Raw genomic sequence first — 26,635 nt, 5'->3', positions numbered from 1 at the left:
TTCTATGTGAGTATAGTATTTGGAGCTTCAAAAAGAATTTAATGATGTGAAAAGGCACTTAGCAGCACCTAATTGCATGTACAACAGAAGAATAATAAGCATTGCCTCTCTCCCCCATCATTTCATCCAACTCAGTGGTAGGTTCCGTGGTTCTGGAAGTTATGTGATATTTACACGATGGATGACTCAGGGATGTGAGCTGCTGCTCTCTGCCATAAAAGGGCAAAGGAAAACACTTTGGCACCCTGGAGGAAGAAGGGAAGACATCTTAGGGAGAGCACCCGACATTGTGTTTCACCAAAGCCTAAGGATTCAGATAGAACACGGTTCCTTGCTTATAGTGGATGTTCACCATTTTAATGAGTGAATGAATGAAATGTTTTTACACTAAGGATATTCTTGAAAATGAACACTGACCAGAGTCTAAAATTACAGCTTATTACAAAACAAAAATAAAAAGCTGAGAAAAGGAATGGAGGCCGGAATATGTGGCTCATGCTTGTAATCCCAGCACTTTGGGAGGCCAAGGTGGGCGAATCACCTGAGGTCAGGAGTTCGAGACTAGCCTGGCCAACATGGTGAAACCACATCTCTATGAAAAATACAAAAATTAGCTGGGCATGGTGGCGGGCACCTATAATCTCAGCTACTTGGGAGGCTGTGGCTGGAGAATCACTTAAAACTGGGAGGCAGAGGTTACAATGAGCCGAGATTGTGCCACTGCACTCCAGAAAGAAAGAGATAAAGAGAGAGAGAGAGACTCAAACCACTTGAAAATTAATTCTCTAAATCATGTTTAAGAAAAAAGCAACTTTAAAACTGCCATAACAGAATTAAGCATTCTTAGGATAACCAAATTTATGAAATGTCACTATAGCTGATCTCAATGACAAGTTCCCTTATTTGTTTGAAGAGTATTGATTATTTGCCATGTATCAGATGGTCTAACTGCTGAAGACACTAAAAGGAATTAAGGAGACAAGAAACATATTTATTTCCTTGAACAGGGCTGGGTAAAAATTAATAAATAAGTAAAAATCAACTATTTATAGAGTTTACATTTTAGTGAATGTGAGCAAACACTTATGTATTGACTATTGTATACCAGGCTCAATTCTGAGCTTTTTTTTGTTATTGTTGTTCTTATTGACTTTAACTATTAAGCTGGCATTTTTTCTATCCTTGTTTTATCTACCCGAGGCACAGAGAGTTTAAGTGACTTTCCCAAGACTACATAGCTACTAAGTGGCAAGGTGGGAATTTGAAGCTAGCTTGTTTGTCTCAAGACCCTGTCCACTTCACACTATATTATTCTACCTCATTAGAAAAAGGGAGCAGTTCTCATTGAGACCTGCTTTGTTGATAATATGGATGAAGTTGATAAATCTTTGGAAAGGTCTCTCCTGGTCACTGTAGCTACAGTAGCCCTCCACTTCCGTCTGCTAGTCATTCTGCCCTATTTTATTTTCTTCAGAGCATTTATTACTAACAGAAATATTTTATTGTTTGTCCTGTCTATGGATTTATTCATCCATTCATCCAACCATCCATCCATTCATCCATCCATCCATCTGTCCATCCATCCATCCATCCATCCATCCATCCATCCATCCATGTCTATTGTCTAGGTCTCCCTCAGTTAAAATAGAAGCTCCATGAAGGTAGAGAACTTAATAGCATACTTCGCAAATATATTCCTGATGCCTAGGGCAGTTATAGAATATATTAGGCACTCAATAATAAATGTCTAATGGCTGAATGAATAAACAGTATGTATACGTGTACATATATCTTATACGTATTTACCTGTACAGGAAAATATCTGGAAATGTTTAACCACCAACAGGCTCACAACAGCTCGATTTCTGGGAGGTGGTCTTATAGGTAGTTTAACTTATTTTTTCATCTTCATTTATCTTGAGAGAGAGAGAGAAAGATGGAGTTGGGAGTATTGGGGGAGGAAATCTGCAGGTAACTGATCAAATTGTCTGCAGGCTTAAATATGGGCAAGCAGTGCTGATGTTTTGAAAGTGCACAAAATGCAAAGTCCAAAGGTAACCAGGCTGTCTTTATTTTCAGATGCTCAGAATTTGAGTTGAGACTTGAGGGCTACCACAGAGAACTGGAAAGTTTTAGGAAGCGCGAAGTGATGACTACAGAAGAAATGAAGCACAATGTTGAAAAGCTTAATGAGCTTTCAAAGAACCTAAATCGGGCGTTTGCAGAGTTTGAGGTTTGGGATCTTGAGATGGGGACTTATGACACTGTACTGGTCTATTGGTTCTGATCCTTGGTTGTGAATTTCCTATTTCCTAATAGCATCTACTAGGTGGATAGTATTGGTTAACTCATTGGCCAGTTCTTTCATTGGTACTTTCTTTTTTCTTTTCTTTTTTTTTTTTTTTTTTTTGAGACAAGGTCTCACTCTGTTGCGCAGGCTGGAGTGCAGTAATGTGACCTCATCTCACTGCAACCTCCACCTCCTGGGTTCAAGTGATTCTCCTGCCTCAGCCTTCCAAGTAGCTGGGATTACAGGCGTGTGCCACCATGCCCAGCTCATTTTTTGTATTTTTAATAGAGAGTTTTGCCATGTTGGCCAGGCTGGTCTTGAACTCCTGACCCCAAGTGATCCACCTGCCTCATCTCCCAAAGTGCTGGGATTACAGGCATGAGCCACCACACCTGGCTCACTGGTACTTTCAACTACCTTTTCCCATATCCCTTCATGACACCAGACTTTTCCCTTTATTAGTTACTGAGCATCCAAAGAAGAAATTATAGTAAGGTAATTGTTCACATTTATTGAACATTTATTATGTGCTTAGCAATGGTCAAGAGCTTCATATGCAATATTTCACTTAATGCCTGTAACACATCTTTGGGTTAGGTACTGTTATTATCCTCACTTATCCCTGAAGTAAGAGAACTAAGTCTTGGAGAAGCTAAGTAACTGTCCCCAAAGATCAGCTAGTAAGTTCTTTAATAACCATTAAAATTCTTACTTCTGAGGCAAGTCAGTACAAGGAGGTAACATCATATATGTAGCTAAAGTACATATGAAAATTATGAAAACGGAGATATGGCTGTCATAGAGTGGAAACAGAGATGATAGGGCAAGTAGCTGATTATCCTACAGTTTCAACCAGACAGACCTCAGCTGCCAAGGTCCTTGGAGGTGGCAGAGGGACATTCTTGCTTGAGTTCATGCTTTAGTTTCCTCTCTTACTCTCCAGATGAATAAGCATTTCCCTCCACTTGGTTTTCAAGGCACTGAGGAATTTGCCCTGGTGTCTTCGAGGGCTTAGGAGAACAACCCATCCCATAAACAGCATCTCCTTTTGCCCTGCAGTTGATCAATAAGGAGGAAGAGCTATTGGAAAAGGAGAAGAGTACTTACCCTCTTCTGCAGGCCATGCTGAAGAACAAAGTACCTTATGAGCAGCTGTGGTCGACAGCCTATGAGTTCAGCATCAAGTCAGAGGAATGGATGAATGGTATGTGGTGATCTCACTCTGCTGGGACAGATGGGGATGAGGTGGAGGATCCACCCAGTCACTTCTGAAATATGGTTTGCACTTAAGAATCTGGCTGGACTTTTAATCAGATTCTGACACTCCAGATTAAGGCAGCCACAGTCAAAATTATCTGATGTGATAATAAAAATGGAAGGTGGAGAAAGAGCCAGATCTATTTCCAGGGTAAAACACAATAGGCAGCCACCCAGAGTCACGACTTAGATTTGCAGATGGTAGGAGAACAGATGGCAGTTTCACGATGGTGCTGCTTCAGGAAAGACCAGGGTGCCAGGGTGCCATAGACATTTGTAAACTACCTTTTACTCTAGGATCTGGGGTCCAGAAAGGTATTGAGGAGTTGGAATCAACAGGACTTAATGATTGATCCGATATGGGTTAAGGGGCAGGGAGGAAGAGGTTACTATCCTCTCAAAGGTAAGAATTTTATTGCCTCAGAGGTAAGAATTTTAATGCTTAAAGAACTTACTAGCTGACCTTTGGGAAAAGTTACTTAGCTTCTCCAAGACTTAGTTCTCTTACTTCAGGGATGAGTGAGGATAATAACAGCAAAGAACCAACTTCCAGATGACTGGCTCAGGCAATTTGGTTGGTATTACCATCACTGAAAAAGAGAAGTGACAGATTTGTTGGGAAAAAAACAAAACAAAACAAACAAATAAAAAAAAACCCATCAACTTGAATACATTGAGTTTGAGGCACCTGGAAACAATCAAATGGGAATATTAAATAGCAATTGAGTGTATCAGTGTGGATTTTAGGAGAGAGATTTGGCGGGTGGGATTTATGTTGGGGAATAATTGATGTGTAGATTACAATCAAAGCCATGAATGATAACACCTGTGGAGGGTGTTGAAGAACAGAGGACAAAATCAGAGATCCTTGTCTGGGTGCAGTGGCTCACACCTGTAGTCCCAGCACTTTGAGAGGCTGATGCAGGGGGATTGCATGAGCCCAGGAGTTCGAGACCAGCCTCAGTAACATAGTGAGAACCCTGTCTCTACAAAAAATAAAAAATCAGCCAAGTGTGATGGTGCACGTGTAGTCTCAGCTACTCGAGAAGCTAAGATGGGAGGAACGCTTGAGCCCAGGAGATCAAGGCTGCAGTAAGCTATGATCTGCTTACTACACCCCAACTTGGGCATCAGAGCAAAACCTTGTCTCAAAAAAAAAAAAAAAAATCAGAGACCCTTAGGTTTGAGCCTTTAGCAAGTTTCTAGTGCTTCAGTATTTATAAACACAAGAAAGCCAGTCATGGTGGCTCATACCTGTAATCCCAGCACTTTGGGAGGCCAAGGTAGAAGGATTACTTGAGCTCAGGAGTTTAAGACCAGCCTGAGCAACTTAGCAAGACCTTATTTCTACTAAAAACAAAATGAAAAAGTTAGCTGGGCATGGTGGTGTGCACCTATAGTCCCAGCTACTCAGGAGGCTGAGGCAGGAGCATCGCTTGAACCTGGGAGGTTGAGGCTGCAATCAGCTGTGATGGCACTACTGCACTCCAACCTGGGAGACAGAGCGAGACCCTGTCTCAAAAAAAACAGTATTTATAAATTACCAAGTGTTTTTATTAGAAATAGGTATTGTATTTTAAAAACATTTTACATTTTATTTTTAAATTTATATACATTAAAATGGACATTTTTGGCATACATTTCTATGAATTTTAACAGTTGTTGACTTTCATATAAACATCACTACAATCAGAAAACAGCAATTTCATCAACTCAATAAATTTCTTTGGACTGTCTCCTTGTGGTCAAATCCTCCCCCCAGTTGTAACCCCTGGCAACTATTGATCTCTTCATTGTTCCTATAGTTTTGTCCTTTTGAGGCTCCTCCTACAAATGGAATGATACAGTATGCAATCTTTCAAGACTGCTTCCTTCACTCAGCACACTGCCTTTAAGATTCATCCGAGTTGTTGGATGTAGCAATAGGTCATTTCCTTTTATTGCGAGTAGTATCCCATTCTATGGATACACCAGCTTAACCATTTACCCACTGTTTTCACTCTCAGACTATTATAAATAGAGATGCTGTAAATATTTATGTCAACGTTTTTGTGTCAATGTAAGTTTTTATTTCTCTAGGGTAAATGCCCAGCAGTGGATTGCTGAATTATATTTAAAGTATATTTGCAAGTTTATAAGAAAATGCCAAACTTTTGTTTTCCACAGTGGCTGTGCCGTTGTGCATCCCTCACCAATGTGTGATAATTCCAGTTGTTCCACCTCTTCATCAGTGTATTAGTCCATTTTCATACTGCTATGAAGAAATACCTGAGACTGGGTAATTTGTAAAGAAAAAGAAGTTTAATGAACTCACAGTTCCACTTGGATGGGGAGGCCTCACAACCATGGTGGAAGGTGAAGGAGGAGCAAAGGCACTTCTTACATGGCGGCAGGCAAGAGAGCATGTGCAGGGGAACTGAGCTTTATAAAACCATCAGTTCTCATGAGACTTATTCACTATCATGAGAACAGCATGGGAAAACTCGACCCCATGATTCAGTTACCTCCCACCAGATCCCTCCCACAACATGTGGGGATTATGGGAACTATAATTCTAGATGACATTTGAATGGGGACACAGCCAAACCATATCAACCAGCCACTGGGTATTATTGTCCATATATATATATATATTTGAGATGGAGTGTCACTTTGTCATACTTTGTACAGTGGTGTGATCTCGGCTCACTGCAGCCTCCGCCTCCTGGGTTCAAGCAATTCTCCCACCTCAGCCTCCCATTTAGCTGGGATTACAGGAGCATGCCACCACACCTGGCTAATTTTTGCATTTTTCGTAGAGCCGGGGTTTCACCATGTTGGCCAGGCTGATCTCAAACTCCTGACCTCAGGTGATCCACCTGCCTCGGCCTCCCAAAGTGCTGGGATTACAGGTGTGAGCCACTGTGCTTGGCCTGTATTTTTTTATTTTAGCCATTCTCATAAGTAGTTGTGATGTCTCATTATGATTTTAATTTGCATTTCCCCAATGCCTAATGATCTTGAACATTTCTTTATGTGCATACCTGTCATTTGTATATCCTCTTTGGTGAAGTGTCTGTTCAAGTCTTTTACCCATTTGTTTAATTGGTTGTTTGATTTCTTACTGTTGAGTTTTGTGAGGTCTTTATAAATTTTGTGAGATTATGTGATTTACAAATATTTTCTCCAAGTCCATGGCTTGTTTTTTTATTCTCTTTATAGTGTCTTTCACAGAGAAAAAGGTTTTAACTTTGATGACGTCCAACGTATCAATTTTTCTTTTATGGATTGTGCTCTTGGTATCATCTCTAAGGACTCTTAGCCTAACCCTGGTCATGAAGATATTCTCCTATATTTTCTTCTAGATTTTTTGTGGTTTTATGTTTTACATTTAGACCTATGGTCCATTTTGAGTTAATTTTTTTAAAATACGAGGCTTAGTTCAAGTTCATTGTCTTACATATAAATGTCCAATGGTTCCAGTAATTGGGAAAAAAAAATTTTTATCCACTTAATTGTATCTTTGTCAAAAATCAGTTGTCCATATCTTCGTGGGTTGATGTCTTGACTCTATTCTGTTCTGCCAATCTATATGTCAAGCCTTTCACTGATACCACATCAACTTGACAACTGTATTTTTATAGAAAGTCTTAAAATCACATAGTGTGATTCTTCTAACTTCATTTTTCTTTTTAAAATTTTATTTTGAGTATTTTAGTCCCTTTATTTTTCCACATAAATTTGAGAATCAGTTTGTCTATACATACCAAAAAACTCTGCTGGGATTTTGTTGGAAATGTTTTAAATCTATAGATAAATTTGGAAAGAATTCACATCTTTATTACATTGAGTCTTTCAATCAATGGACACTTTACATCTCTTCAATTATTTAGTTCTCCTTTTACTTCTTTTTATCAGTGTTTTGCAGGTTTCAGCATACAGCTCCTATGCATGTTTTGTTAAATTTATACATAAATATTTCCTTTTTTGGAGCTATTGTAAATGATGTATGTTTTTGAATTTCACTTTTTGAGGTAAGTACTATGAAGCACAATTGCTGGATTATATGATAAGAATATGTTTAGTTTTGTAAGAAACGGCCAAACTGTCTTTCAGAGTTGCTGTACCGTTTTGTATTTCCACCAATATAAATGACATTTCCTGTTGCTCCACATCCTTGCCAGCATTTAGTGTTGTCAGTGTTTTGAGTTTTGACCATTTTAATAGGTGTGTAGTGGTATCTGTTGTTGGCTATTGTTGTTGTTATTGTTTTTAAATTGAGATGAGGGTCTCACTAATTTGCCCCAGGTGGCCTCAGATTCCTGGGCTCAAGCAATCCTCCCACCTTGGCCTCCCAAAGTGTTGGGATTACAGGCATGAGCCACCATACCCAGCCACTCATTGTTTTTTAATTTGTAGTTCCTTAATGGCAATGATATTGAACATCTTTTCATATGCTTATTCACCTCTTGTATATCTTCTTAGATTAGGTATTTGTTCAGAGCTTTTGCCTATTTTTAAGTTTCAGGTTTTTGTTTTCCTATTGTTGAATTTTTAAAAATTCTTTGTATATTTAGATAATAGTCATTTATCAGATCTTTTTTTTTTTTTTTTTTTTTTTTTTGCAAATATTTTCTTCCAGACTGTGCCTTTTTTATTCTCTTGACAACATCTTTTACAGGGGAGAATCTTTTCATTCCTAGTTTATCATTTTTTTCCCATGTGTTGTGCCTTCTGTGTTGTAACTAAAAAGCCATTCTCAAATCCAAGGTCATCCATATTTTCTCCTATGTTATCTTCTAGGAATTTTATAGTTTTCCATTTTAGATTTAAGTCTATGATCCATTTTGAGTTAATTTTTGTGAAGGGTGTAAGATCCGTGTCTAGATTCTTTTTTTGTGTGTGTATATAGATGTCCAATTTTTTCATCTTTATTTGTTGAAAAGGCTATCTTTTCTCTATTATATTGCCTTTGCTCTTTTATCAAAGACCAGTTGACTATATTTGTGTGGTTCTATTTTTGGATGGGTTATGTATTCTGTTCCACTGATCTATGTGACTTTCTTTTGCCAATACCACGCTTTTTTGATTACAATAGTTTTATAGTAACTCTTGAAGCTGGCTAGTATCAGTCCTCTGACTTTATTCTTCCCCTTCAATATTGTGTTGGCTATTCTGGATCTTTTACTTCTCTGTGTAAATTTTAGAATCGGCTTGTCAATATCCACAAAATAACTTGCTGGGATTTTTACTGGGATTGTGTTGAATCTATAGATCAAGTTGGGAAGAACTGGCATCTTAACAATATTGAGTCTTCCTATCCATGATTATGGAATATCTCTCCATTATTTATATCTTCTTTGATTTCTTTCATCAGAGTTTTTTGTAGTTTTCCTCATACAGATCTTGCAAATATTTTGGTAGATTTTTGCCCAAGTACAAATTTAATTTTTAGGGTGCCAATGTAAATAGTATTATGCTTTTAATTTCTTTTTTTTTTCTTTTTTGAGACAGAGTCTTATTCTGTCACCCAGGCTGGAGTGTAATGGTGTGATCTTGGCTCACTACAACCTCCACCTCCTGGGTTCAAGTGATTCTCCTGCCTTAGCCTCCTGAGTAGTTGGGATTATAGGCACATGCCACCACACCCGGCTAATTTTTGTATTTTTGGTAGAGACAGGGTTTCACCATGTTGGTCAGGCTGGTCTCGAACTCCTGACCTCGTGATCCACCTGCCTTGGCCTCCCAAAGTGCTGGGATTACAGGCATGAGCCACTGTGCCTGGGCTATGCTTTTAATTTCAAATTCCACTGTTCATTGATGCTATCTTGGAAAGTGATTGACTTTTTAATGTTAATATTGTGTCCTGTGATCCTGCTGCAATCACTTATTAGTTCCAGGAGTTTGTTTTGTTGATTCTGGTGGATTTTCTTTCTATTTCTTTTTTTTTTCCAATTTTTACTTATTTATTTTTAGTTGACAAGTAGTTATGTATATTTATGGGGTTCAATGTGATATTCTGATCTATGTATACATCATAGAAAGATTAAATCAAGCTAATTAACATATCCACACCCTCACCAATTTATCATTTTTTTTCTGATGATAACATTTATAATCTATTCTTTAAGAACTTTTAAATATACAAGACATTATTATTATTATTATTTGAGATGGGGTCTCGCTCTGCCACCTAGGTTGGACCACAGTGACGTAACCTCGGCTCACTGCAATCTCTGCCTCCTAGGTTCAAGTGATCCTCCCACCTCAACCTCCTGAGTAGCTGGGACTACAGATGCACACCACCACACCCAGCTAATTTTTTGTATTTTTGGTAGAGACAGGATTTTGCCATGTTGCCCAGGCCGGTCTTGAACGCCTGAGCTCAAGCAATCCACCCGCCTCTGATTCCCAAAGTGCTAGGATTACAGGCATGAGCCACCTCACCCAGCTGAAATATACAATAATTATTAACTGCAGTCACCATGCACTACAATAGATTACTAAAATTTATTTCTCCAGTATAACTGAAACTTTGTACCCTTCATCAACATCTTTCCTTTCCTTCCCCATCCCTTTGCCTCATCCAAGCCTCTGGTAACTGCCTTTCTACTCTCTGTTTCTATGAAATTGACATTTTTAGATTCTGCAAATAGTGAGATCATACAGTATTTGTCTTTCTGTGCCTGGCTTATTTCACTTAGCATAATGTCCTCCAGTTCCATCCATGTTGTTGCAAATTACAGAAAATTTTGAGGCTGTTAATACTGTATATTATATTGTTTGATTTTCAAATATTAAACCAGCCTTGCACTCCAATGATAAACCCTACTTGGACATGGTGTATTATTATTTTCATGTGTTGCTGGATTCAGTTTCCATGCCTAATATTTTGTTGAGAATTTTAGTGTCTGTGAGAGATACTGGTCTGTAGGGTTTTTTTTTTTTTTGTAATGTATCTGTGTGGTTTTTGTATCAGCGTATCACTGACCTGTTAAAATAAGTTAGGAAATGTTTTCTTCTATTTTTTAGATGAGATTATACAGGTTTTGCTGTTATTTTTTTCTTCTTCTAATGTTTGGCAGAATTTTCCAGTGAAACCATCTGATTCTGAAGTTTTTATATTTTGGAAATTTTTTATCTATAAATTCAATTTCTTCAATAGTTATAAAACTATTCAGGTTTTCTAGTTTATCTTGAATAAGTTTTTGGAAGTTTGTAGTTTTTGAAGAATGGCTTCATTTTAAAAAAAAATGGTCTAATTTATGTACATTGAGTTGTTTATAGCATTCCCTTATTACCCTGTTAATGTCTGAGAGGTTGGTAGTGATATCCCATCTTTTATTTTTGATATTGGTAATTTGCATCTTCTTTCTTTTTTCTTTGCCTGTCTTGCTAGAAGTTTATCTTTTTTTTAGGCCTATCAATTTTAGTTTTCCAAGGAAACAGCTTTTTGTTTCAATAATCTTTCTTATTATTTTTGTTTTCAATGGATTTCTGTTCTTATTTTTATCATTTCCTTCCTTCTGCTAGCTTTGATTTATCTTGCTCTTCTTTTTCTAGTTACTTAAGGTAGAAACTTGGATGATTTATTTTAGAAATTTCTCCTTTTTTAATGCTACAAATTTATCCTTTATAGTTGTCCCTCACAAATTTTGTTCAATTTAAAGTGCTTTCTAATTTCCTTTGAGACTCCTCTAGGACCTATGGATTATTTATAAGTGTGTTGTTTAATTTTCTAGTCACCGGAGATTTTCTTGTTATGTTTTTATTGTTATTTCTAATTTAATTCCATTATGGCCATAAAAGACACTTTGCATGATTTTACTTCTTTTCAATTTATTGAGGTTTGTTTTATGACTCAGAATAAGATTCACCTTGGTAAGTGTTCTATTTGCAATAAAAAAGAATGTGTACTCTGCTGTTATTGAGTGGAATATTTTATCAAGGGATCAAGCTGCCTTTGTTAAAAGTCAGCTTTGGCAGGGCTGTTACTGTGCTAGACATATCCCTCTCCATGGATAAGCAGCAAGTTCTGCAATGGGATTCCTAGTGAGTGTCGCTTCCACTTTTCCCCTGCAGTGGCTTTCAAGGTATGGTTCCAGGACAAAGCAGCATTCTCATTAACTGAGAATGTGTTAAAAATGCAAAATCTTGAGCCCTCGCTCCAGACCTGACTCAGAAACTCTGGGAATGGGGCCCAGAAATCTGTGTTTTAACAAGCCCTCCTGGCAGTTCTGATGCCTGCTAAACTTGGAAAACTACTGTGAATATCCTACAGAAATTTCTCCCTATAGCTCACATTTTGATGGCACCTTCTTTAATTTCCAGTAGAGACACATGTTTTTCCCTTTATTATCTGCCTTTGATCATTTAGTGGGGAGTTAGAATAGGCAGACGTGGTTAATTGCATGGCCTCACATTGCTTCTTTGCCTAGAAGTTATTTGTTTACATTCATGGGGCTGAAGATCATTAACCTTGAAGAATGACTTCAGCAATGTTTCTTAGAACTCTGGAATTTCTGGACTGGACAGGACCCTAGAATTTATTAATATTTCCTGCAACCTCCATATTTGAATCTTGACTGAGTTGACTGTATCCACAGGGCTACAAAAATTTCCACCTGCTGTCTCATCCTTTAAGATCAGAGTTAGAATTTCAGAATATAGCCTTTCCATAAGCTATGAGGTGAGAAGCTACCACGTCATGTGGATAAAGGGATCCATAACTGCTCTTCAAATAGCAGTGTCTAAAATCCCTGGATTATTTTATGTTCTTCTCTCTTGTTGTAGATATAAATTTGTCAGTTCAGGCTGTCTCTAGATAATCATAACCAGAGGGAAATTGCTTCTAATAGAAATGCTACTACTACTCCTCTTTGCCTGAGTGATTGCAAATAACCCAGGCAAGTCACTCTGTTTGTGCTTCACTCTTACAACTATAGAGTGGGAACAATGAAGTGTTAGCCTTACCTACTTTATTCATCCTACTGGGAAAGTCACCGTGATAATTCAGCCAAACCCTCCCAAGTACAGGCTACTCACTTGTTGCGTAGGTGCCTTTCTATTCTAGCCCAGCACCTACAATATTTCCTGGTGCATGAAGGATACTTTTTTTTAATTTAAATTTTTAATCACGCAACAAAAATGTTGGGTTGATGAAGCATGTGAAATTAATGAAGTTAGATTTAGTTTCAGCACTCCTGAAGAAGTGTTTTTGAGTAAGTTAGCAACATCACATAGCAAGAGTTAATACCAATTTGAAATATCCAAGCAGGGGCAGCAGCATGGAAAGGTCTTGGCTGGATGTGAAACCCAAATGCTAAAGGTTCTTAGCAAAATAAAGGAAGGGGAAGGAAATTAGTGTTTTGGAGTAAGTTTAAACAATGAGGTGTTACTTTTTGCTTTTAAAATACATATATTTTTTGACAGAGTCTCACTCTGTTGTCCAGGCTGGAGGGCAGTGGCACTATCCTGGCTCACTGCAACCTCCACCTCCTAGGCTCAAGTGATCCTCCCACCCCAGCCTCCCAAATAGCTGGGACTACAGAGCATGCCACCATGCCTGGCTAATTTTTTGCATTTTCAGTGGAAATGAGGTTTAACCATGTTGCACAAGCTGGTCTTGAATTCCTGACCTCAAACAATCTGCCTGCCTCAGCCTCCCTCTCATATCTCCATTCACCTTTCCCCGATGGTTAATATTTCATGGCTTTTGTGAAGCACTTTTAATTACTACTATAGCAGATTCTAAAACCAATAATAACAATTTTTTTCTTTTTTCTTTTTCTTCTCATTTTTTGTAGAGATGGGGTCTCACTATGTTGCCCAGGCTGGTCTCAAACTGCTAGGCTCAAGCAGTCCTCCCACCTTGGCCTCCCCAAATGCTGGGATTACAAGTGTAAGCCATTGCAACTGGTCAAAAACAAAACAAAACAAAAAGCTATTGATATGCTAATTGTACATCCATTATATGCCAGGCATTATGTTAGCCACTGTATATTATCTCACTGAATTTCCACAATCACCTTCCAGGGTATCCATTATTACCCCTGTGTCACAGGAGTTACTGTTGAGGCTTAGAAAAGTCCTGTATCATATCTAAGGTTCCACTGGCTAAGTGCAGGTTTCAGATCCTCAAAGCCTGTATGTGTTCCAATCTCCAAACGACAGGAGGCACAGCTCTAAGTTCAGGGAATTAAAGGTACGCATGACTAACATCCACATGATGGTCTGACCTTTCCCTCACTCTTCTATTTCAGGACCCCTCTTCTTACTGAATGCTGAGCAAATTGCGGAGGAGATAGGGAATATGTGGAGGACAACGTATAAACTGATCAAGACCTTGTCTGATGTGCCTGCACCCAGGCGCTTAGCAGAGAATGTGAAGATCAAGATCGATAAGTTCAAGCAGTACATTCCCATCCTCAGTATTTCCTGCAACCCAGGAATGAAAGACCGACACTGGCAGCAGGTTTCTATCAATCACTGCCCGCCCCCAAGCAGCGCAGCCCAGGCCTGGCCCTGACTGTCCTTGGGAAGGCAGGAAACATTACTAGGTCAAGCTTCTCCTTTCCGAAAGGAGACTCTATTTAAGGGCAAAGGGATAGCAAATGAGAGTGGCAAGACTTCTGAAGGAAGAGAATGAACTCCCTGCCCCCTGGACAGGTTGGCCCTTTCCTTGGAACCCCCATTGGTCGTGGTTCGTTGAGTGTTGTTCGAGCCAATGACCACAAAGGGTCTCCTTCCTGCTTCCTAAGCAGATGGGCTTTTGGAGGCCAAGAGCCTCCAAGGTGCAACAGGGATGTTCAATACAGTGAGAGGACCTTGATTTGCTCCTTGACCTAGGATACACAAAAAAGAAAGTCACATCTCTCCCTGGGGGTTGCTAATAATACCAGATGATTCCCACTTAGGATGACTTTGGTGTGGCATTTTATTGTCAAACAGGTTCAGAAATAACTTTGCACTCCTCTTTCAGCCCTTTGGGCCTACAAATTAGAAAAATAAATATTCTCCTTAAAAATAGCTGGGATTTTTATAAGGAACCAAGTGTGAGGGTGATAAGTGTGGTGTGAACACTAAGCAGAAAAAAGAAAACTCACTGTGTTTCTAAAATAATTGTCACTTCCAAGGGCTAGCAATGGCCTTGAAACATCCTTTACCAGGAGTCGCTCTGTATGGAATTAGAAGTGAAAATGGCTTTCTTTGGGAAGATTCTTCTCTGACTTGGCCTGTAATTCCCCCTCTCAGAACCACATTCAAGACCAGGCACGGTGGCTCAAGACCATAATCCTAACACTTTGAGAAGCTGAGGCAGGAGGATAGTTTGAGCCCAGCCTGGGCAACATAGTGAGACCCCCATCTCTCCCTAATTAATTAATTAATATTAGCTAGGTGTAGTGGTGCACATTTGTGGTCCAGTAACTTGGGAGGCTGAGGTGGGAGGATTGCTTGGGCCAAGGATGTCAAGGCTGCATTGAGCCATGATCGTGTCACTGCACTCCAGCCTGGGTAACGGGGGGACAAAAAAGCCACGTATAAGACTGAGGAAATTCTCTCTGAAAGGACCCAATGACAACACAGTGACAAGGAGCACTTTGTTCTCCCTAGGAAGAGAGAGGAAGACTCTCTTAATACATGAGAGAGTCAGGGTCTTTTTGTAGGGAGAAGCTACTTTCAGTTTCCCAAAAAGTCTTGAACTGGAGACCTAACCAAAGGATGGGGTGATGTATAGACAAGAGATAGGCTGTCTGAGTAGACCTCTGTTTTTCTTTTTTTTTTTTTTTTTTTTTGAGGTGGAATCTCACTGTGTCACCCAGGCTGGAGTGCAGTGACATGATCTCGGCTCACTACATTCAAGCAGTTCTCCTGCCTCAGTCTCCTGAGTAGCTGGGATTGCAGGCACGTGCCACCATGCCCTGCTAATTTTTGTATTTTTAGTAGAGATGGGGTTTCACCATGTTGGCCAGGCTGGTCTTGAACTCCTGACCTCAAGTGATCCACCCGCCTCAACCTCCCAAAGTTCTGGGATTATAGGCATGAGCCACCGTGCCTGGCTGGGATATTTTTTAATTGTAATTTTAATTAATTGATTTTTAAAATAGAGATGGGGGGGGTCTTACTATGTTGCCCAGGCTGGTCTCAAATTCCTGGCCTCAAGTGATCCTCCTGCCTTGGCCTCCTAAAGTGCTGGGATTACAGGCGTGAGCCACAGTGCCTGGCCATGACTTCTGGTTTTGAAACGCCCCAGCAGAGGGATCCGCAGAGGAGGAGTTGCTGTCAGCTGGTGCTCACGGGGTGCCTCTCTCTACGGACCCAGCCTAACTAGGACTTTGACCTGCATCGGGGGGATGGGGGGGTTAGGGAGCTTAGGTGGGACAGGTGGCCTCTGGTAGTGCCAGGTTTCTCTATGAGATGGCACTATCAAGAGTGTCCTTGTCGATGGCATTTGGAGAACATGCCGCGGGGCCGGGAAAGCCATCTGCTCCACCTGGTGCTTCCTCTATGATGCTATTCTTGTATGTGGGCACTCAGAAAATCCCAACCAGGCCAAGCGAGGTAGCTCACACCACTAATCTCAGCACTTTAGGAGGCCGAGACAGGAGGATCACTTGAGGCCAGGAGCTTGAGGCCAACCTGGGCAACATAGTGTGACCCATCTATTTAAAAAATTAATTAATTTAAATTTAAAAAATCCCAGTCAGGTGCCGTGGCTCACGCCTATAATCCCAGGACTTTGAGAGGCCGAGGCAAGTGGATCGCTTGAGCCCAGGAGTCTGAGAACCAGCCCGGGCCAACACTGCAAAACCCCATCAAGAAATACAAAAAAATTAGCCGGGCGTGGTGGCACATGCCTGTAGTCCCAGCTGCTAGGGAAGCTAAGGTGGGAGCATCACTTGAGCCTGGGAGGTTGAGGCTGCAGTGAGCTGTGATTGCGCCACTGCAGTCTAGCCTGGGCAACAGAGAAAGACCCTGTCTCAATAAATAAATAAATAAATAAATAAAGTAAAAAAATTCTAACCATAATAATAATGATGATATTGAAAATGTACTGAGTACCAGCTATGGTGCTGGGTACTGTGTTGTATACTTTATTTGGATTCTCACATTTCACCCTTAAAACAGGCCTTTGAAGTGGAGATTATTATTATCTCCATTTCACGGATTGGAAAACTGAGACTTGGAGAGATGAATTGTCAGATGGCTAGTTGGTGGTGGGAAAGGGGATTGGAATTTTTCTACACTGTTTGACTCAGCCTGGAAAAGTCAAAAAGGCAAAAAAGGTCCGGTCAGAGGAAGGGAGCGGGCAGTAGGGGGCAGTAAACCACAGTGAGAGAGGGCCGGGGAGCACAGCCCTAGGACAGTGGCTCCCAAGGAGTGAGCCCCTAAATGGAAGCCCAGTGGGCTGAGCAGTTAAGAGGCAAGTTCAGAAAGGACAAAGGCCCCTAGATACTCTCCGGACTGCCCCTAGGCAGAGCCCATTCCTCCCTGCAGTGTATGTAGGTCACACCACAGGCCGCCCTGGGGACAGCCCCAGGCCTGGGGATGTCATTCTCTGCCCTGATGCCTAACTTAGGAGATCCACTGCCACAGATGCTAGCTCTGGCAGGGGGATCTGAAGGATGAGCCATCTGTAGCACTCAAGTCTAGAAGCTGGATCTTCTGAAGCAAGGCCATGGCTGTGCTGGGGGTTCTGGTCATTTACAGAACGTAGGTAGAAAAAGTTAGAGCCTTACGTTTGGGGCACAGACTTTATAGATAACAGCAAAGGGGTTGCTACTGTGGTTTCAAACGAAATGGAAGCCACAAATCTAAAAGGCTTTTTGGATCACTACACTAAGGTGCATTTCTGATGTCCTATTTGCAATTAGTGTTATTTTGGTTATTTTTTCATCATGTGCCTATAACACTCTTGGTCTTCCAAGACCGTTATTTCAACGGTAACTACTTCTGGGTTCCTTGCTTTTGTGCTTTCTGAGTCATTATAAAAAAATCTCCTGGTCTGGCCAGGTGCAGTGGCTCACGCCTGTAATCCCAACACTTTGGGAGGCCGAGGCAGACAAATCACCTGAGGTCAGGAGTTCGAGAGCAGTCTGGCCAACATGGCGAAACCCCATTTCTACTAAAAATACAAAAATTAGCCGGGCGTGGTGCCATGCGCCTGTAATCCCAACTACTTGGGAGGCTGAGGCAGGAAAATCATTGGACCCAGGAGACAGAGGTTGCAGTGAGCCGAGATTGCGCCATGGCACTCCAGCCTGGGTGACAGAGCGAGACTCTCTCTCAAAAAAAAAAAAGTATGGAAAAAGAAAAATTTAAAAAATAATAAAAATTTAAAAAATAATAAAAATTTAACTGTTAAAAAAAAAGCAAGATGGAACAAGGTAACATTTGATCTTAGGGAGAAACTGCACTGATAGATGCCAAAACTGGCCCTCTGTGACTAGTACAAATATAACGTGAGCCATTTGTGTTAATTTTTTTTTTTTTTTGAGATGGAGTCTCACTCTGTTGCCCAGGCTGGAGTGCAGTGGTGCGATCTCGGCTGATTCCTGCCTCCACCTCCCGGTTCAAGCTGTTCTTTTGCCTCAGCCTCCCAAGTAGCTGGGATTGCAGGCACCTGCCACCGTGCCCAGCTAATTTTTGTATTTTTAGTAGAGACAGGGTTTCACCTGTTTGACAGGCTGGTCTTGAACACCTGACCTCAAGTGATCCGCCCGCCTCAGCCTCCCAAAGTGCTGGGATTACAGGAGTAAGCCACTGCACCCAGCCAATAATTTTAAAGTTTCTAGTAGCCACATTTTACAAAGTAAAAGGGACTGGGCATGATGGCTCACACCTGTAATCCCAGCATTTTTGGGAGATCAAGGTGCGAGGATTGCTTGAGTATAGGAGTTCAAGACCAGCGTGGAAAACATAGCGAGACCCCATCTCTACAAAAAAATTTTTAAAAAGAAAAAGGTTAGCCAGGCATGGTGTTGTATGCCAGTGGTCCCAGCTGCTCAGGAGGTCGAGGGAGGAGGACCACTTGAGCCTGGGAGGTCAAGGCTGCAGTGAGTCATGATCACACCACTGCACTTCAGCCTGGGCAACAAAGCAGGACCCTGTCTAATTAAAATTAGCTGGGTGTGGCGGCTCACTCCTGTAATGTGACTACTTTGGGAGGCTATGGTGGGAGGATCGCTTGAGGCCAGGAGTTTGAGACCACTTTGAGCAACACAGCAAGACCCTATCTCTACAATAAATTTAAAAATTAGCCAGGCAAGGTGGTGTGTGCCTGTGGCCCCAGCTACTGGGGAGGCTGATGTGGGAGGATTGCTTGGGCCTGGGAGGTCAAAGCAGCAGTGAGCTATGATGGCACTGTGTTGCCTGGGAGACAGAGTGAGACTGTCTCAAAAAATTTTTTTAATTTAATTTAAAAATAAATTCCTCAGTCACACTAGCCACATCTCTGGTGCTCAACAGCCACCTGCCACTCGTGGCTGTTATGCTGAGCAGTGCAGATAAAAAGAACATCTCCATCATCACAGAAGGTTCTACTGGACAGCACTGCCTCGGACAACAAACATTTGCTTTCCTCTTTTCTTTGCAGATCAGTGAGATTGTTGGCTATGAGATAAAGCCCACCGAAACGACCTGCCTCTCAAATATGCTCGAATTTGGATTCGGCAAATTCGTTGAAAAGTAAGGGCTTATCCCCTCCTTCAGATAAGGTTTTGGTCAAAGGATCTGTAAGTTCCCACAGTGATCTGATTGGCTCCATATCGGGCTGTTTGTTTTTTTTTCCTTGTGGCGTAGGGTGGCTTAAGGCTATTTAATTACCTGCAGCTACCAACTCGTATTGGTGAAGCTTCTGTTTTTTAGCTGCAGAGCTGCTGATGGGTTGTGACTAGAAAATTGAGTCATGGATTTTATTTCAAAGGGTTTTTTTTTTTTTTAATGTTCTTTGAACCTGAGCTTCAAGCCCAGCTCTCAGTGATTGGGGGCAAAACCATTCAGCCTTTCTGTGCCTCGGTTTCCTCTTCTTTAAACAAACAAAGCAACAACCGTCTCTGAGCTTTAAGATTGTGTGAAACCTGGTCCAATAAGAAGTCTCTTCTCGCCTGGGCACAGTGGCTCATGCCTGTAATTTCAGCACTCTGGGGGGCCGAGGCAGGCGGACCACTTGAGGTCAGGAGTTCAAGACCAGCCTGGCCAACATAGTGAAACCCCCGTTTCTACTAAAAATACAAAAGCTAGCCAGGCATGGTGGCACATGCCTGTAGTCCCAGCTACTCAGGAAGCTAAGGCCAGAGGATCGCTCGAACCCAGGAGGTGGAGGTTGCAGTGAGCCAAGATAGCGCCATTGCACTACAGCCTGGGTGACAGTGTGAGACTCCATCTTAATTTAAAAAAAAGAAAAAAAAAGAAGTCTTTTCTCTTGCTTTCTTCCCTTCTCCAAATTCCCCTGGAGTTTGTGTGTGAGAATTTTACCATTTGGATGCTACCTCTAGAACAGAGCTTCTCAGGACCCTACTTGCTTTTTCACACTTCCTTCAGGGCGATGGGTGGGGAGATGTTGCATTGCCTGGACTGGAGACCCTGTTAGGTGAGTGTGGCACCCAGATCTGCTGCATCAGCGTCAGCTAGGAACTAGCTAGAATGCACGTTTTCAGGCCCCACCCAACCCACATAATCAAATTCTGCAGATGGGCCCTGCAGTCTGCATTTTAACAAATCCTTCAGGTCAGCACTGTCCAAAGCAGCATCCACTGGCCACATGTGGCCATTGAGCCCCTACAGTGCAGCTAGTCTGAATTAGATGTGCTGTAAGTATAAAATACAGGCTGGATTTCGAAGACATACTACAAGAAAAAAGAATGCAAAATACCTAACAATTTTTAATACTGATTAGTATTGAAATGATAATATTTTGGATATATTGAGTCAAATACATTATTGGAACTAATTTCACCTGTGTCTTTTAATATTTTTAAAATGTGGCTACTAGAAACTTTATTTTATTTTATCTTATTTTATTTTGGAGACGGAGTCTCACTTTGTCACCCAGGCCAGAGTGCAATGGCACAATCTCGGCTCACTGCAACCTCCTCCTCCCAGGTTCAAGTGATTCTCCTGCCTCAGCTTCCCGAGTAGCTGGGGTTACAGGTGCCCGCCACCATGCCTGGCTAATTTTTGTATTTTTGGTAGAGACGGGGTTTCACCACATTGGCCAGGCTGGCCTTGAACTCCTGACCTCAGGTGATCTGCCCACCTCGGCCTCCCAAAGTGCTGGGATTACAGGCGAGAAACTTTAAAATTACATATGTGGCTCACTCTATATTTCTAATGGACAGCACTGCTCCAGGCGATTCTGATACATGAAAGGCTGAGAATTCCCCACTCATACTGCACCAGAGCAGGTCTAATTTAAGGCACTTCCCAGCTCCTGAATCTTTCTGCCACCTGAATACTGTGATGCCTCTCCAATACCACCACTATGTTCCTCATTAACGAGCAGGCCTAGAGACGCAAATGTTTTTTATCAGGTTTAGGATAAAAACCCTTAGGTTTTTTGGCCAAAGGGCCTCACTTTCCCCCAGTAAGATGTTTCCAAGAGACACTAGCTATTGAACACTTATGCTGCACTCAGCATTTTATATACCTGAACCCTTTTTATTTATTTATTTATTTTTTATTTTTTGAGACAGAGTCTCACTCTGTGTCCCAGGCTGGAGTGCAATGGTGCAATCTCAGCGGTGCAATCTCAGCTCACTGCAACCTCCGCCTCCTGGGTTCAAGTGATTCTTCTGCCTCAGCCTCCCGAGTGGCTGGGATTACAGGCACCTGCCATCATGCCTGGCTAATTTTTGTATTTTTGTAGAGATGGGGTTTCATCATGTTGGTCAGGCTGGTCTCGAACTCCTGACCTCAGGTGATCCATCTGCCTTGGCCTCCCAAAGTACTGGGATTACAGGCGTGAGCCACCATGCCCGACCTTAACACATTTATCCATCACAAAAACCTAGTGTCCTAGGTCCTACCGTCCTAATATTATTCTCATTTTACAGATGAGGAAATAAACTTCAGATTATTAGCCATTGATCACACTAGTAACCGAAAGAATGAACATTTCACTTAGGAAAGAATCAAGATTTGAACATAAGCAGGCTTCCATTACCAGGCAGGCCTTAACCATGACCCTTCACTGCTGAAAAAGTAAACCCCTCTCCAGAGACAGTGAATGAGCAAATAAACATACAGCTATTCTTATACTTTCCATGCACACATGTTCAACTGTGACCAATTCAGAAGTGGAAGCATCTTGGCTAAGTTGTTTCCTTCTGTGCGCCTTGGTTCCATTTGTAACATGGGAGAGTAGCTAGGTGATTAGAGTTAGGATTAGGAGAAAAGGCATGTCACCTGAACTGATTCCATGTCTGGGGACTCAGCCACCACCATTTAGGGAGGTGTGATATTGCATGTATTCCACCCACACCATAGTTAATGCAGCTTCATCACAGCCCATAGTTAATGAGCTTCTCCAGCACATTTTGGGTGAGGTCAACTCCTGATATATTTCATGAATTCCCAGACTGATTAGTCCCTCATCTGTTCAATCATTTGCATTCTAAGTCATACCCTAGGGTAATTCATGAGGCCTGGTGCCAGCATTTGGTCTTATTTAATTGAACCCCAAAGCCTGTGATAGGGGCATATGGGGACCTGAGGCCTGTCAAGTGACTTGGCCACAGCCACACAGCCAGTGAGTACTGGAGGCTGGGCCTTGTGACTCTTTGTCTCATACTAATCTGGGCTGGCACCTGCCTTTATTAATTATTCCCTATATGCACACTCATTTTGGTCACCTCTCACAGGCCATATTTAAGTCAGTGACCACGCTGCTGAGGTCCTGATCAGTCCTTGTTTGTAATTTTCTGCTCCTAATCTTCCTCCCTTCTAGAGGCTAAATGAGGGTTCTCCGCTCTATTTAATTGGTCCTATTTGATTGAACACATATGAACAGTTCTATTAGTTGTTACTCTTTTTTTTTTTTTTTTTTTTGAGACGGAATTTTACTCTTGTTGCCCAGACTGGAGTGCAATGACATGATCTTGGCTCAATGCAACCTTCACCTCCCGGGTTCAAGCGATTTTCCTGCCTCAGCCTCCTGAGTAGCTGGGATTACAGGCGTGCGCCACCATGCCTGGCTAATTTTGTATTTTTAGTAGAGACGGGGTTTCACCATGTTGGTCAGGCTGGTCTCGAACTCCTGACCTCAGGTGATTCACCTGCCTTGGCCTCCCAAAGTGCTGGGATTACAGGAGTGAGCCACCGTGCCTGGCCTAGTTCTATTGCTCTTTCTAAGTAAGAGAAGGGAGAAGGCATATCATAAGGGTGGAAGAAGAAACACCAGGGTAGGAGTCAGATTAGGAGGAATTGGTGTCAATACCCAGTTCCAGGACTCCCTGGCTCTGTGATTTTGGACATGTCACTTGCTTCCTCTGAGCGTTGGTTTCCTGACCTATGAGTAAATATCAGATGGTCTCTTCTACACTCAAGGATGCAATGAAAGACAGGGCTGAGGCAGAGAGAACAGTCCCTCTTTCCACTTCCAAGAACTTGGCTTTCCAATTCTTTGCCACACCTCGGTTTTAGGACCCAGATCTCCATGTGGAAACAAGAAGAAAGGAATTTGTTTGCCTCTTCTCTCTCTCCCTCTATGCCCCTTTCTGTGGAATAGAGGGGCCATGGACGGGTGGACCCAGTATCAGGAAAATAGTAGGTGTTTTTGAAAAGGGAAGGGATGGGAAGTAGAGCAAGAGCCATCACATAAATTAACAGAGGTTCAAAATCTGAATAAGAAATCAGAATACTGGCCGGGCATGGTGGCTCACGCCTGTAATTCCAGCACTTTGGGAGGCCGAGGCGGGCGGATCACTTGTGGTCAGGAGTTCAAGACCAGCGTGGCCAATATGGTGAAACCCCGTCTCTACTAAAAATACAAAAATTAGCCAGGTGTGGTGGAGGGCACCTGTAATCCCAGCTGCTTGCGAGGCTGAGGCAGGAGAATCGCTTGAATCCGGGAGGCAGAGGTTGCAGTGAGCCAAGATCATGCCACTGCACTCCACCCTGGGCATCGCAGTGAGACTCCATCTGGGGGAAAAAAAAATAAAAGAAATCAGAATATGGGCAAATAAGGCATAAACAAAGATGGAAAGAAGAGGTCTTATTTTAGTGACCTTACAACAGTGGTTCTCAACTGGGGGCCATTTCCCACCCTTAAGGGACACTTGGAAATATCTGGAGACATTTTTGGTTGTCATGACTGGCAAAAGATGGGGCAGGGCTGGGGAGTCTGCTGCTGGTGTCTAGTGGGTAGAGACCAGGGATGCTGCTCAACACCCTAGAAGGTACGGTACAGCTCCCCATGACAATTATTTCAGCCTATGTGAGTTTGCTAGGTCTCATCAAAAGACAAAGCAACAAATTGAGTTATAGTCTAATTGGCTTTTAATCAAGATTCGTGAATCAGGGCAGCCTCTGTTTTCCAAAATAGAATGAGAGTTCCCACTGGGCAGTAGCACAATGGTAAGTTTTATAAGGAAACAGAACAATATGAAAAAAAAGGATTAATTAATGTCAGGTTATTTTTTTATGAGGGTTCAAGCAGAGGGAACTTCCTTATTCTCTGAGTCAGGTAGACTGGAATCTCCTGTTTTCAGGAAAAACTGTCCTGTTCTGGGATCTATCTCCTTCCTTAAAGATTCAGTTTGATTACATGCCATTTAGCGTGAGTGACTCCATTTTGGTTTGGTCTGGTCTGCTGGGGTCTAGTGCAGGAGCTCAGTCCGGAATAATGACCTCTCATAATTTTTGTTGAACAGGCTGCTCTTACAGCATACCACAGACTGAGTGGCTTACACAACAGAAATTTATTGTCTCATAATTCTGGAGGCTTAAAGTCCAAGGCCAAGTTGTAGGCAGGGTTGGTTGCTTCTGAGGCCTCTCTCCTTGGCTTGCAGATGGCTGTCTTCCCCTATGAATTGACATGGTCTTCCCTCTGTGTGTCTGTGTCCTAATCTCTTCTTATAAGGTCACCAATTATAATGGATTAAGGCCCACCCTCATGACTTATTTTAATTTAATTACCTCTTTAAAGATCCTTTCTCCAAATAGAGTTACATTCCAAGATATTAGGGGTTAGAATTTCAATATATGAATTTTTGAGGAGACAATATTTAACCCATAACACAGCCCAAAAAGTCAACGGTGCCAAGGGTGAGAAACCCTGCAAAACACTGGCGGTAGCTGGCAGATCTTAGAGCAGGATAGTAAACCTTTTGGTCAAATTAAGGGCTTTTGGAGATTCTCCTAAGACTGAGCTGAAATTCCTCCCTTTTTTTTTTTTTTTTTTTTTTTTTTGAGACAGGGTTTACTCTGTTTTCCAGAGTGGAGTGCAGTGGTGAAATCACGATCTCAGCTCACTGCAGCCTCTACCTCCCAGGCTCAGGCGATCCTCCCACCTCAGTCTCCTGAGTAGCTAGAACTACAGGCATACACCACACCTGGCTAATTTTTGTGTTTTTAGTGGAGATGGGGTTTTGCTATATTGCCCAGGCTGGTCTCGAACTCCCGACCTCAAGCAATCTTCCCTCCTCGGCCTCCCAAAGTGCTGGGATTACAGGCATGAGCCACCATGCCTGGCCTGAAGTTCCTCCTTTGATGTGTCTTCTCTGCCTCCTGTTGATGTTGCTGTTGCTGTGTTCTCTCTTTAGATTGGAGCCCATTGGTGCAGCTGCCAGCAAGGAATACTCTCTGGAGAAAAACTTGGATAGAATGAAGTTGGATTGGGTTAACGTGACGTTCAGCTTCGTGAAATACAGGGACACTGTGAGTCTCACTGCAACCGCAGCCCCTTTTGAAAGCAGCCCCATTTATTATGCAATAGATTACAGAAACGATTCATTCAGAATGGCAACAGAACTCACAGAGAAATAATCGCTCATGTCTTGATTGTTTCCTACTGTCTGCCTTTCTGTGTCAGTCACCTTTCCTGTCAGCACCACCGAAGAGATTCATTCTTCAAATCAGACAAGTCTTTTGATTCAGAGCAAGAGGCTTTCTCAGTGCAAAGGAACCAAGCAAGCCTCTAAATCAGCACCTCCCAGTGAAGGTGCAGGCTTGTACACCATTCCAAAGCTTCCCAGTCCCGTCAGAAGCACAGGGGCAGACAATGACTAGTGTTTCTCAGATGTCAATGCATGCAGGAATCATCGGAGATCTTGTTGAAATGCGGGTTCTGATTCAGCAGGTCTGGGATGGAATCTAGGATTCTGCAGATCTAACAAGCTCCCAGATAATATTGATCAATTTTGAATAGTAAGGGTGTAGGTTTCTTTCTTTTCACTTGCACTTGTAGAAAACACAGGAGTTTGTACAGTGCATGCGAAGGTGCTACACACCCAAAGCATTTGCTCAGCTGTCGTTAGGGTCTGGCTTGCTTTTGGGATAGGGTGTGAGGTAGGGATGAGGGTTGCAGCTCTTGGGGAGCTGTAAATCATGGAGGCAACAGGTTGATACACACATCCTGCAGACCATTGGTTCTTTTTTTCTTTCTTTTTTTGAGATGGAGCCTTGCTCTGTCACCCAGGCTGGAGTGCAACTGCGTGATCTCGGATCACTGCAACCTCTGCCTCCCAGGCTCAAGCGATTCTCATACCTCAGCCTCCCGAGTAGCTGGGATTACAGGTGCCCGCCACCATGCCCAGCTAATTTTTATATTTTCAGTAGAGATGGGGTTTCATCATGTTGGCCAGGCTGGTCTTGAACTCCTGACCTCAAGTGATCTGCCCACCTCCGCCTCCCAAATTGCTGGGATTACAGGTGTGAGCCACCACGCCAGGCCCAACCATTGATTCCTAAAGCAGTGCTTCCAAACCTGCATTGTAGAATCATCTGGAATGCTTTAAAATCTCCCAATGGATTCTTCCTGGCTCCTCCCCTCCCAGAATGCCTGGGCATCTGTATTTTTCAGGCACCCCTGGTTTTTCTCATGTGCAATGTAGATTGAGAACCAAAAGCTCCCAAGCCTCCCTCCTTCCCCAGGCTGCATGTTATCTACTT

The 26,635-nt window shown here is 42.1% G+C and overlaps 1 protein-coding gene across 16 annotated transcripts in view; it reads left to right on the top strand.

Annotated features, from left to right (window-relative positions):
- Window positions 1–26,635, top strand: part of DNAH3 (dynein axonemal heavy chain 3) — a 226,349-nt gene that overhangs the window by 58,611 nt on the left and 141,103 nt on the right. For 14 of the 16 annotated variants that reach the window (XM_017023432.2, NM_017539.2, XM_047434349.1 and 11 more), the window contains 5 exons: window positions 2,080–2,233; window positions 3,350–3,494; window positions 13,789–14,000; window positions 19,122–19,213; window positions 25,288–25,402. In XM_017023432.2, coding sequence (XP_016878921.1) covers window positions 2,080–2,233; window positions 3,350–3,494; window positions 13,789–14,000; window positions 19,122–19,213; window positions 25,288–25,402 — 718 coding nt within the window. Of the gene's footprint in view, window positions 1–2,079; window positions 2,234–3,349; window positions 3,495–13,401; window positions 13,428–13,788; window positions 14,001–19,121; window positions 19,214–25,287; window positions 25,403–26,635 lie in introns of those variants that run through there. The other 2 variants (XM_011545888.2, XM_011545889.2) reach the window with 2 other exon arrangements.

The sequence above is a fragment of the Homo sapiens genome, chromosome 16 (assembly GCF_000001405.40).
Source record: "Homo sapiens chromosome 16, GRCh38.p14 Primary Assembly".
Taxonomy (NCBI): Eukaryota; Metazoa; Chordata; class Mammalia; order Primates; family Hominidae; genus Homo; species Homo sapiens.
Note: the sequence above shows the minus strand (reverse complement) of the source record. Positions and strands in the feature narration are given on the sequence as shown.